The 13,808-nt window shown below is 45.0% G+C and overlaps 1 protein-coding gene across 3 annotated transcripts in view, besides 1 other annotated feature; it reads left to right on the top strand.

Annotated features, from left to right (window-relative positions):
• The window catches only part of TMEM132C (transmembrane protein 132C), a 440,742-nt gene that overhangs the window by 404,809 nt on the left and 22,125 nt on the right, over nt 1-13,808 (top strand). The gene's annotated exons all lie outside the window — the stretch shown is intronic.
• Nucleotides 7,297-7,466: an enhancer, noted in NCBI's record as "experimental_25284 CRE fragment used in MPRA reporter constructs". NCBI's record gives its function as "activates a minimal promoter by MPRAs in K562 erythroleukemia cells, with activity observed for both the introgressed and non-introgressed 12:129163905 variant alleles {active_cell/tissue: K562}" and the evidence as "EXISTENCE:reporter gene assay evidence [ECO:0000049][PMID:34662402]".

Genomic DNA, 13,808 nt, shown 5'->3' on the forward strand with positions numbered 1-13,808 from the left:
ATGAAATTTTAAATTTTCTAATAGCCACATTCAAAAAAAGTTTTAAGAAAAGTTGAATTTAATTGTAATAATGCATTGTGTTTAACCCATTATATTAAAACTTTACCATTTCTACATGTAGTCTATATAAACATTAATAATGAAATATTTTACTTTTTTTTACACTAAGTCTTTGAAATCTAGTATGTGTTTTATACTAACAGCACACTGAAATCGAAACTAGCCCCATTTCCAGTGCTTCATAGCCATGTGTGGCTTGTGGCTCCCACAGTGGACAGCACAGGTCCTTGTTGGTCACTGGCCTTTGTCACTGATTTGCAAGCCCCCTAAAAGCCAGAACACTTGATGAATGTAACGTGTTGATAAGACACCTCCAGTACTGATAACTTTTCTAGAGGTAAATAACCTTTCAGCCTACAAAAACCAAGAGGGAAACAACCCAAAATTTATCACAGCTGTATACATAGCAATCCTTAACTACTCTTAAGACAATTTTGACAGGAAGTCCATTACTAATATCTCCAGGAATTATAATCAGTATCTTTAGGGAAATAAATGTATTCAAACAGAAAATTGCCTCCTGAAATGAATCCAGAGTTGATACCCCTGGCTGTTGACAAAGCAATGTGAAATCTTGAGTCAGCAGAAACTGGGTGAGGACATCAGAGCAGGCAGGCTCAGTGTACATGAGCACAGTCCATAGGACCCAGGCTTGGCTGTGGCCTTGGGTCTGATGAGATCAATGATATTTTCAGTGCTAGTTGGGTACAGCTCAGAATGCCATGGAGAGAAGATGGGGAGGGAATTGACATTTAATCAGTGCCTAGTCTGCAGCAGGCCCATGAGGTTTTGGATTTAGGCAGTTCAGAGTTCTGTCAAGAATTCTGAAGGCTCTGAGATTGCACCCTAGTGTAAACTGGCAAATCAAACTGTCACAGTTTTGTGGATGCTGGCAGAAGACACAAGACCCCGAGGTCAGAGACAAATGACAGTCACTGTATCAGCATCTTTCTGCACCAGTTGCCTGGGCTTCAGTTCCCACTGGCTTATGCAGAAGAGGCCAGTGACACTTGCACATGTAGTGGATCGGGTTTCAGGAGAGGAATGCTGGCCTTCGAGAATGTGCATCTTTTATCATGGGCTGTATGTTTGTGTCCCACCCTGAATTCATATGTGGAAGCCCTTAACACCCAATGCAATGGTATTAGAGGTAGGGCCTTTAGGAGGTAATTAGGCTTCAATGAGGGTGGAGCCCCACGATGGCAGTAGTACTCTTATAAGAAGAGGAAAAGAGACCAGAGCTTGCTGTCTCTCTACTATGTGAGGATATAGCAAGAAGGCAGCAGTCCGCAAGCCAGGAGGGCTCTCAGTAGAACCCAGCAATTCTGGCATCCTGATCTCAGACTTCCCAGTCTTCGGAACTGTGAGAAATAAATGTGTGTGTGTTGTTTAAGCCACCTGACTTACGGTATTCTGTTAAAGCAGGCCAACCTGACTTAAGACAGGCAGGAAGCCTGCCTGACCTCCCCAAAGAGACAATGCCTTTATCATACTGGGCCTGAAGCTCCAGAAGAAGGCACTGTCTGTCTTCCAAGACTGTTCACTATATAAAACACTTTGAAAAGACCTTTCAGAACAAAAATAGTCTATGCTCTGTTTGTACAATGTGCTGAAATGCAAGCATATCATGGAGAATGTCTCCCGAAGAATTCCTGATGGCTTTGCCACATTCAAGCTGTGCAGCCTTGAGTGAATCATACAGCGTTCCCTCCAGTACTCAGTCTCCTTCTTAGTAAAGTGAGGATAAGCATAGTTCCTAATTCAAAAGGTCAGCATGAGGATTAATCAGTTTTATAAATGCAACAGAGAACATGACCTAGTAGCCAGCATATAGTAAGGGCTTAATAACTCAGAGTCAACTCTGGTCATCTCATGTAATCCTCTGATTAGGTAGATCAGGGATTAAGACTGGAGGCTTCCAAGTATATTTGTGTGATATGCACAGTGTTGCTTAAAAATGTAAGAATTGGATGCAACTCACTTCAAATGTACAATTCAGTGATTTTTAGTAAATTATACTAAGTTTGGCAACCATCACCATGATCCGATTTTATAACATTTTTGTCACAGTTAATCCCCATTCCCATCCCTGGCCCCTGGCAGTCACTAAGCTGGTTTCTGTCTCTATAGATTTGCCTGCTGTGGGCATTTCCCATGAATGGCATCATACAGTACATGGTCTTTTGTGTCTACTTTTTCCACTTAGCGTTGTTTTCGAAGCTCATCTACATGGTAGCATGGGGCAGTAGTTTGTTTCTTTTATTGCGGAATAGTATTCCACTGTATGGATATACCATATTGTGTTCATCCATTCACTCAGTTGGGTTGTTTCCACTTTTCAGATGTTTCATCCATTTATGAATCATGCTGCAATGAATATTCACATTCACGCCTTTGTGTGGACATACATTTTCATTCCTCTTGAGTAGATACAGAGGAGTAGAATGGCTTGGTCATATGGTAACCTTACATTTAATGTTTGAGAAACTGCCAAACTTTTTTCCAAAGTGGCTATACCATTTTGCATTCTCACGAGTCATATCTGAGGGTTTCCTCTCCAGCTTATTGGGAAAATCCAGCAGATCTGGCAGAGCTACAGTGTGCTCACCTGGCAACACTGTGGGGTGCCCTTTATTTATTTTTTCATTTTTCCATAAGTTATTGGCGTACAGGTGGTATTTGGTTACATGAGTAAGTTCTTTACTGGTGATTTGTGAGGTTTTTGGTGCAACCATCACCCGAGCAGTATACACTGCACCATATTTGTAGTCTTTTATCCCTTGCCTCCCGCCCCCAAAATTCCCCCCAAGGCCCCAAAGTCCATTGTATCATTCTAATGCATTTGCATCCTCAGAGCTTAGCTCCCACCGGCACCTTCTGATTTATCACAGTTGCCTTATGTTTGGTCCACTTCCATTATCTGCTTGGCCCGTGTAAGCACTTGAATGTGTGTAGATGGGACAGTACCCAATGTGTAAATGTGGAGGCTGAGATTCAGCAGGAGGACTTGGGTTTTATGATTTTGCTTCCTCACTTTTCCTTTTTCTTTCCTTCATTCTTTCCTTCTTTGTTTTCTTTCTTCCTCTTTTCCTCCTCAATTTCATTCAGCCAACATTTATTAACCAACTACCACATTTAAGGTTCTGTGATTTTGGTAAGGAAAAAGCAGATGAAGAAGGTGAACCTCTCAGGACTCACAGCCAAACAGAAGAGGTAAACATGCGAGACTTTATTTTGCATACCAACTCATTTACTACTCATAACATCTGCATTATCGCTATTATTAATTCTGTCTTATAGTAGAAAAAAACTGAGGCTCAGCAAATGGAGGCCACCTGCCTGAGGTCACGCAACTTGTACATGGCAGAGAAGGGATTCTAACTAGAAGGCCAAAAGCTCTTGACCATTAGGCTATATAGTCTCTGTACATTCAAATTTTGCTTAACATTTTACTTTTTATTTGGAATTTCAAACTTATCTCAAAGGTTGCAGTGACTGGACAAAGTATACTATATACCCTTTACTGAGGTTCTACTGTTGTCAATATTTACCCATTTGCTTTTTCACAGTTTCAGTCTCTCTCTCTCTTTCTCTCTTCCCATCCTCTAGATAGACAGATAGACAGATAGGCAGGTAGATGGATAGATGGATGGATAGGTGGATATGTGAATAGATGGGTGGGTGGACAGATGGAGGAAGGGAGATAGATAGATAAGATAGGTGATTAATAGATTATTGGTAGGTAATAGGTTAGATAGATAAGTGATAGATTAGATAGATGGTAGATTTAGATAGATAGAAGATAGATAGATAGATAGATAGATAGATAGATAGATAGATAGATAAATAGATAGATAGATAGATTTGTTGCTGAACCACTTCAGAGTAAGTTACATATATCAAGGCCTTTTAACTCTAACTACTTCAGTGTATATTTCCTAAGAATAAGAATATTCTTTTACATACCCACAGTCATCAACTTCAGTTAATTTAATGTTGATACAATATATTATCTAATCCATATTCTGTTTTCCAATTTTGTCAGTTGGCCAACCGTGTCTTGTGGAGGAGCATATTTTTCTGCAGTACAAGATCCAATCCAGGCTCACATGCACATTTAATTGTCACGTACTCTAGCCTCCTTTAAGCTGAAGCAAGTCCTTAGCATTGCCCTGTCTTTTAACGCACAGAATACTCTTGAGAAATACAGTCCTTTTTTTTTAAATTTTTAAATAAAATATTCCTCATTTAAGATTTCCTGGTATTTCTTCATTTAGATTCACATTTGCATTCCCAGCAAGGATAACTATACAAGTGACGATATACATACATATTTTGTTTCATTTATTTTTGTAGGCTTTTTAATCACCCTGAAATACTTTGGTGGGTATTTTTTCTGATTATATAAGTAATGTATAAAATTTGTCTACAATAATAATTGCTCCAGAAAACTCTAAGAAAGAAAGAACTACCTTTACTCCCATCACCCTTAGAGAATCATTGTAAACATTTTGGTAATCATTTCTTACACACATATACCCACATATACAGATAATTTTTAAAGAATAAGATATCATACATACTGTTTTTGTTAACCACAAACTGTCTTATTGGCAAATCTACATACATACACATACACGCTCACACACATGTGTCTACACAATTCAACACACATGTATAAGGGCTTTTCAGTCCTGGTTTGTCTTACAGAAATAGAGCCATATCCTTATGCATTTCTGCCTATTCCTTCTCTCACCTTACAATGCATCATGAATATCGCTGCCTTGGAGCACTTGGAACATGAAGCCAGGCCAGTGTGCGGTGTAAAAGTATGATAAGGGCTGAGGAGTCTTGTCTGCGATGTGCAGGTTAATAGGAGTCATAACATCTGAATGGGAGAGAACCCTGGATGTCGGCCTCTTTGTTGATTCACATTCAAGAGGTGAAGGAGCAGCACCTAGAGAAGGGCCAAGGGCCATGACTTGCCCAACAATAACCCCAGGAACAATAATAGGAAGAAAAACATGCAATATGGACAAGCGCTTGCAATGCCCAAGTGTCCATCTTAGAGGATCTCATCTATGGGGTCCAAGCTTTAAAACATCTTTGACATAAAGCTGTGTCTTGCTTGCAGTTGATGACATGGCACAGATTACCTGGCAGTGGTTTTCTTAGTGTGGTGTCATAGATTTAGCAATATCCAGTCCGTGTTTTTCACAGGTCACATGACAATCTATTAAACACAGATGTGCCGGCCATTTTCTAGGTACCATTCTGGTATGGGGGACACAGCAATTAAATAGAACAGAAGCGGTCCCTGCCCTCAAGGAAGCAGCATGCTAGTGATAGAGAGAAGCAGATAATAAGAAAATGCATGAGAATCTTACGGAGATGATGGGCGACATGAATAGGACACTGCTGGAGAGGGGCTTAGGTGGGGGCTGCTGGGGATGGGGTGGTCCTCAAGGAGGGGACACTGGAGTCAGTTAGCAAGGAAAATAATGATTATTAATGCCTGTACCTGGCTGTACCTCCTATTTGGACAGCACCCTATGTACATCCCCTCACCCTAATGACACTGACACACAATACCCCACCCTGTGCCCCCTGGGTGCCCCCACCCTGGTCCTCAGCCCTGCATGTGCCTTCCGCAGGACTCCTGCAGCCATGGGTTGCTAGGCACTGCCCAGGACAGGGTGGGGATGCTGAGATTTAAAGCATCATTAGAGAAAGTTCATCTATTGAATTTCCAGTGCAGCCTGTCTGACCTCCAGGGCACGATACTAGCTAATGGATCCCAGTGCAGAGCTAAAAATAATGCATTTGGGCAACAAGCAGGCCTGGCTTTTCCCCAGTGACCAAAGGTGCCTGCGTTAGCTCCGGCACATGGAGAGCAACCTTGCTCAGCCAACAGCCTGATAGTTGCCCTGAGCTTGGGCTCCCGTCAGCACTAAACTTTCTCTGTGCTGAACCTACTATTGATTTTGCAGGCTCCAAGTCCTTGAGAGTGTGAAGTTCTTTGGCAACAGCCCTAAGTTTTTAGGGTATCTACAGGATGCATTACTGCTTTCGGGTGGCATCCCTCCCTAAACAGCAGGACAGCAGAAGAGAGTTTTCTATTTGTTCTTGTCATGGCTGAGGGGCTTTGGAAGAAACTCTGGAAGGTCTTTATCCTCAAGAGCCATTTGGTGGTTCTCAGATGAAAGAAAATTAAAGAGAACAAAGAAATTCCTGGAATCCAGAAGTCCCGGACTCCAAGCCAAGCTGGGTGACATTGCCCTACCGTAGCCCCTTTGTGGACTTGGGGTCCCTGCTGTAAAGCAAGGACGCTCATTCCTTGAGGGGCTCTTCTAGTGCCCGCATTCCATCTGGGATTCAAAGTGCAGTTTAAATGGCATGCTTAAGAGCTTGAACTCTGCCACTGACAAGTTCTTCTTTAAGCCTCAGTTCTTTCATCTGCAAAATGGGGGAAGCCCCAGGCCTACCCCAGAAGATTGTTTTGAGTTTGAACGCAGTCATCCATCTCAAGCATGCAGGACGATGCCTTTGTGTCAACTCTTCCTCCTACCCAGGCAGCCCTAGACCAGTGGTTCTCTGTGGGGTGACTGAACCCCCTGAGAACATCTAGCAATGTCTGGAGACATTTTTGGTTGTCACACCTGGAGCAGAGGCTGCTGGCATCTAGTGGTTAGAAGTTAAGGACGCTGCTTGTACATCCTGCGATTCCAGGACAGCCCTCACAACAAAGAATTATCTGACCCCAAATGTCAATCATGCTGAGGTTGAGAAGTCCCGCCCTAGGCCGAGCAGACACCACGGGGTCTCCAGTCTCCTGTGGGAGGACGCTCATTGCCATGAAAGTGCCTGGTGTGGTGACTTAGTCTGGAAGAAAAGGCCACTGCCTTTGGCCTCAGACAGACTCCTGTTATGTCTTTCTGTCACTTATCTTCTGAGTGATCTTGGGGAAGTCAACCTCTCTGAGCCTCAGTGTCCTTATCTCAGATATGGAGATCCTAAGAGTCATATTGCATAGATGCTACTCAAAGATTGAAAAAGAAAAGGCAGGTGACACGCCTGGCACATATTAAGTGCTCAATAATTGTCAGGTAGCACTGGTAATGGGGGTCATGGCAGCTGCAATATTCACTAAGCTCTGCTGAGAGCTGAGAGCTGTTCAAAGCAGAGAGTTCTCCACACTGTATTGGCTAGTGGACTTGGGTCTTTATTTAATCACTGGGAGGCTAGACTTGCATTAGGCAGCTATTGCTGTGATAATGCTGCATAACAAAACAACCTGACATCTCAGTAACTTAACAACAGCAAGCACTGGTTTCTCCCTCAGGGGTCCCTGGGTTAAGTAGAGCAGCCCTGCCTCAGTGTGCCAGTTGTGTGGGCTGGGATCCAGATTTGTTTTGGGTTTGGGTTGGCTCTGTGTGTCTCATTTTGGTGGCAAAAGGCAGCAGCACCTTGAGAACATTCTTCTCATGGTGGCTTATAGGAGCACAAGTGGCCAGGCAAAGCCCTGAAAGCACATTTGGGGCCTTTGTGGACCTGACACCCAGTAACATCTTGCTTTACAGCCATAGTCTTTACAGTCATAATCCTTTCATCAAAGCTATGATTTCCTCATTCTCTTCACGGATATTTATTGAGCACGTACTATGCTCTGGGGATACAGTCATGAACCAACTGCGCCAGAACCCCACTTTCACAAATTTATCTGTAATAGCAGAGATAGAAAGTATATAAGTAAACAAACATAAAAGCAAGTTCATTTCAAATATTGTAGATGCTATGGAGAAAACCAAGAGGGTAATGGGACGAGGAGAGGATTCACAGGGCTAGTTCATGGTCAACCATCATGGAAGCTTCTCTGGGGAGGTAGCATTTGAGCTGAGATCTAAATGCCAAGAGCTTGGGAAAGAGCTGTCCAAGCAGAAAGAACAGCAAGTGCAAAGGCCCCAGGGTATGAACAGGCTTTGCAAGTCCAAGGAACAAAAGAACAGCCAGGATGAAGGAGGATGAAGAGTAAGAAGACGAAGAGAAAACGTTAAGATGCATGAAATAGGCAGGGCCAGGTCGTCCAAGGCCTTGGAGTCTGTGTTCAGAATTTTGTTTTACTCTCAGAGCAATATGACACTGCAGGGTATTCTGGTTTGGGGTTTAAGTAGATCACTCGAGAAAGGATGAGGCAGGTACTACTCTAAGTCTTATTTTACAAATGAGGAAATTCAGGCCCAGAGAAGCTGAGTGACTGGCCCAAAGCCGCACAGCTGATTAGTAGCAGAGCCAGGATTCGAACTCAGGTCTGCCTGATCACCAAGCCCACATGGCCTCAGATTCCCAGCAGGCTCAGGCAAGTATGGGAATATGCTGTCATCATAGACTGATATTAAGATTTACCCATAGCTGCGCTGCCCAGTATGACAGCTGCTAACCATGTGTGACTATTTAAATTAGTTAGAATGGAATAAAATGAAAATTTCAGCTCCTCAGTCACTCTAGCCACATCTCAGGTGCTCATTAGTCACATGTGGCTAGTGTCTACCACACTGGACAGCACACATATGGGACATTTCCATCATCACAGAAAGTTCTATGGGAAGCACAGAATCAAAACCTTTGACTGGTAGGAGCTATGCCACACATTCGTTCCTAGGAAAGGTTGATGGATAAACCTTTTTTGGCCTAGAACTGGCCAAAAAGATCAGGTTGTTCTGACCCTCTGATTTAAGCTACAGATAATATCCTGTTCTAATAAAAGACTTTTATGGAACATAAGACCATTTACTGATGAGTCAGATTTTACTTGAGCCAAATAGGGCTCCATGTGAGTGCACTTAAATGGAAAGAGAAGTTTTTAAGTCTCACGGACCTTGCAGCTGGTCTCTGCATTGATGAAAAGTTTCTGGTCAGGTTCATGAAGCACGGGATACAGTCCAGTTTGAGACCCAGGTGTCTGGTTAGCCTCGGGGAAGATGTAGCTCTGGAAATCAGTTCTTCTATTCTTGTTTTTTCTCCTGCCAGATCCTATCATTCCTGTCCCACTTTGACCCCTCTGCCTCCTGAGTAGCTGGGATTACAGGCATGAATCCCATGCCCAGCTAATTCTTTGCATTTTTAGTAAAGATGGGTTTCACCATGTTGGCCAGGCTGGTCTCAAACTCCTGACCTCAAGTGATCTGCACACCTTGGCCTCCCAAAGTGCTGGGATTACAGGTGTGAGCCACCGCACCCGGCCTGTTTTTCATTTTTATAAGTTTTTTATGTTTCTCCTCTTGTCCTCCTTCCTGAGAGGCTGGTGGAAAGAGTGGCACCGATGGGTCTGGGCTGGTGAAGATATCCAGTAAAATTACCCCTTATATCTGAGAGGATGATTTTGGTTAACAGACCCAAACCGAGTTAAGGGGGAAAACATCTAGGGGTTCCTATATCTGAACTGTAAGAGATTTCCTGGCTTCTGGGATGGCTGGATCCAGGGGCTCAAATGAAGTAATCAGTATTTTTATGTTATTTCCGACTTTCCATCACTTGGCTTAGCATTCTCCATACTGATCACAGTCTCTGACAAGTTGTCCTGTCCTACCATGGCTGCAGACAGCTACCAGACTGTATCTTTTTTTTTTTTTTTTTGAGACAGAGTCTCACCCTATCTCCCAGGCTGGAGTGCAGTGGCATGATCTTGGCTCGCTGCAACCTCCACCTCCCGGGTTCAAGTGATTCTCCTGCCTCAGCCTCCTGAGTAGCTGGGACTACAGGTGAGCGCTACCACGCCTGGATTTTTTTTTTTTTTTTTTTTTTTTGTATTTTTAGTAGAGACAGGGTTTCACTATGTTGGCCAGGCTGGTCTCAAACTCCTGACCTTAAGTGATCCACCCACCTTGGCCTCCCAAAGTGCTGGGATTACAGGTGTGAGCCACCGTGCCCGGCCCAGATGGTATCTTTACAGGTAGAAATCTAGCAGAAAAGCAAATACCTTTTGTGTGGCCTGGCTTGAATCAAAATCCTGAGGTCTCCTCTGATTGCTCCCGCTTAGGTCCGTCCTGTGCTAACCTCTGAGCCAATTGCTGTGGCTAGGAATGAGAAGCTCTGATTGGCTTAGGCCATCGTCACATGATTTCACTCTTCTGGCTGGAGGCGGAGCTTCAGCCAAACCTCTACACAGGAGTGGGGCAAGGGAAGACCCCCAAAGAAACTAGGGCTGTGGCCACAGGGAGCTCCATGGGATGACAGTGGGGGCTCCTCTCCTCCACCCCCTTATTCTTTGTCGCCTGATTGTTCCCTGTCCCAGCACCTCCTCTCCATTTCTAATGTGGCCTGGGTTAGGGGAATAGCCCATGTCAGCCCCACCCATGAATGGGTTTTCCTTGATGACATTCATCCAAGCAATGGTTCCCGATCTAGCCGAGGGCGGAGAGGAATGGGAGAACGGGGTACTCTCTGGGCGTCTCCCAGCAAGGTGCTGCCCGTTGGTTCTCCTAGGAAGGCGTTGGTCCTGCATTGTCTGTGAGAGGCCTCAGCACTGCTGGCGTGGCCGTTAACACTCTCTGTGTGTAGGAAGCTTCAGAAGAATGACTCCAAATCAGAAAACGGATGCAAGAAGAAAATATCAGACATATAACGCTATTGAAACAGAGCATCGCCCGCCCCAGGTGGGAGTGGTGTGCACACACTCTGTCACAGTTTTCCAGAGCTGCCATAACACAGTGCCACACACTGGTGACTTAAACAACAGATATTTACGTTCTCACAGCTCTGGAGGCCAGAAGTCTGGAGTCAAGGTGTGGACAGGGCCACCCCTCCTCCGAGGCCTCCAGGGAACAATCCCAGGCAACGGCTGCTGGCGGACACCTTGCCTCTTCCAGCATCTGGAACAGGGCACTCTTCCTTGGTTTGTAGAGGCATCACCGCATTCTCTGCCTGCATCTTCACATGGCCGTCCTCCCTGTGCGTCTGCCTCTGTGTTTTAGGGCTTTAGGATCTCGAGTGCCTTATTAAGGAGAAAGAAGACAGATGGTGCAGAGGGTGACCTGGGGCAGGAGCTGCGGGAGAGAAACTGCACGCGTGGTGCGGTCAGATCTGATTAAGGCTGTCATCCTGGAAGCCTCTCACCACTCTCCTCTTCCAACCCCCTTGTAAACACCCTTCTGGGGCTAATATGTTCTGTCTGCCCGGCCCTCTACAGAGTCCCATCTGCCAAGCCCGAGGTTTCTGCCTGGCCACAGGCTTTCACTGTGTCCCTATTTGCAGGCACTGGGCTCGTTCCCCTACTTGTGGGCTTTCTTATTTAATTCTCCTGATAAACCTGTGACACTGCTCTCTCCCGGCATGACACCCTCCGCCTACTTCTCTGACCTTGTACTGCCCACCTTCTTTCTCTTTCTAGAACAGGCCACAATTATTCCTACCTCCAGGCCCTCACGCAGTGTAAGTGAGAGGTTAAGTGAGGCTCTTCTGGACCTGGATGGTTGCTTTCAAATCCAGCTCCAACTCCTGTTCGCTGTGAGACCTTGGACCAGTTATTTGATTTCTCTGTTCTTTGATTTCCTCACCTGTAAAATGGTTTGTGTGAAGATGAAAGGAATCCACACATATAAACTCTGAGAACAGAAACTAGTGTACAGCAGACACTTAATAAGTGTTGGTCGCCAGGCGCAGTGGCTCACGCCTGTAATCCTAGCACTTTGGGGGGCCAAGGTGGGTGGATCACCTGAGGTCAGGAGTTCGAGACCAGCCTGATCAACATGGTGAAACCCTATCTTTACTAAATACAAAATATTAGCCAGGCATGGTGGTGGATGCCTGTCGTCCCAAGTACTTGGGAGGCTGAGCCAGGAGAATCTCTTGAACCCAGAAGGCGGAGGTTGCAGTGAGCCAAGATTGCGCCATTGCACTCCAGCCTGGGCAACAAGAGCAAAACTCTGTTTGAAATTAAATAAATAAATAAATAAATAAATAAATAAATAAATAAATGTTGGTGCCTCTTATTGAATCTTTTCCTGGAACCGTCTTCCCCCATATCTCCGGCCTAAACGTCACCTCACGAGAGAGGTCTCTGCACCATTCTCAGTCATGTTTTCTTATTTTATTTTTATTGTAGCATTTATTGCTCACAATTATTTTCTTTTTACTTGTTATCATCTATTCTCACTCTCTAAATGAAATCCTGGTCTCTCCCACTCGTTTCTGTATCTCCATGCCTAGAAACACCTAGCACATAGTAGGGGCACAGAAAGTATTGGTTGAAAGAAAGAATCCTGGTTTCATAGATGAGGAAAATGAATCCTAAAGCAGTGCAAACTCTAGCACAACACAGATGCAAGCCTGTGTTCCTCACCACAACATTTGGATCCTACAAGGAAGCATATCCTATTGTGAGAAAGTATGACTTTCTCTGGTCCCTACTAGTCTGACCCGCAATCCTGCCTGTCTCCTCAGCCAAAGTGGGGCGGGCAACCAGCCATCTCCCCTTCCTCCTCCCCAAGCTGGGCCAGGCAGCTCATTAGCGCTGCCAACCCCCCGCATGGACAGCAGTCCTGAGCCGAGAACGACGGGAGATGTGTCCAAGTCTTGGCAGCATTGTGCATTGTCAGCTGGATAAAGTGTGATTTATCACAGAACAAATTTCTGCCTGGCCATTTGAATTCTCTTTGGCCATCGTTTCACCGGGCAAGATGTAAAAGGGAGGGGAAGAGCATAGACATTGTCTCAGAAATATTGCTTAGCCCTGACTTTTCTCTGCCTTTTTCTTTTTCCTTCTCTTCCAGTGATGTCAAAGAAGTAGCTATAATGCACTTTAGTAATGAGAGAACTGCTGTAGTAATGAGAGAGACCTCCTTAAAATGTAAAACTTCAGCTCTGGCCACTGCAAGGGAAGGGCACATTGCACAGGAGATGCCAGATGTTCTCTGGGGTGAGAACAGGTACCGGCAACGAGAGGAAAGGGATTCTAAACTAATGTCCCAAAGTCAGGTCCTGGTGAATGTCCTGAAACGGTGGCCCCTCCAGGACAAGAAGCTCTGACAGGAGTCTTCCCACATCCTGGGAAGCCTCCTAAATCCGGGCTCAGGGCTCTGCCAATCCCTGCTTTCTTCTCAATTTTGCCAGTGTCCTCTGCCTAAACAGGAGAGAAAATAGAATAAGATAAAAAGGTGAATGGGAGGTAAGGAAGAGAGGGGAAGCCATGTAAAAGGCCGTGAGAGTTATAGTCAGGATCATCCACATCCCATCTCTTAGCAGAATGCATCTGTCAGCAAGTCTTTGTAACAGACAACTCCAGCGTTTGGTTGTTCAAGATGATTGCAATTTATTCTTGCTTATGGGTTTGCAGGTAAGCGGGGCTCGGCCGGACAGCTCAGCCTAAGGTGTGAGCTCTGCTGGGTTTGGCCTGTCGCTGCCATTGGGCTGTGGTCAGCTCCTTGTTCCTTGTGTCCCATTCTGGGGCCCACACTGAGAGATTGTATTAATAGCTACTTTGGAGGAAGTAGCTATTAATGGTCAAGTTCCAACGACTAGCAGAAGTACACATTTCCTAAGTCCAAGCTTGGACTGGTCCAAGCATGGCTGTCACTTCTGTTCATATTTTCCTGGCCAAAGCCAAGTCCAGCAACAATGGGGAGAGGAAGTAGACCCTGTCCATGATGGAGGAGAAGGCGGGCCTCCCTGAGTGCAGAGCCAGCTCAGCGTCATGGCTGAGAGCAGACCTCTAGGGGTGACTGGCTGTGTTTAAATCCTGACTGATGACTACC

Source organism: Homo sapiens, chromosome 12 (genome assembly GCF_000001405.40).
Source record: "Homo sapiens chromosome 12, GRCh38.p14 Primary Assembly".
Lineage (NCBI taxonomy): Eukaryota > Metazoa > Chordata > Mammalia > Primates > Hominidae > Homo > Homo sapiens.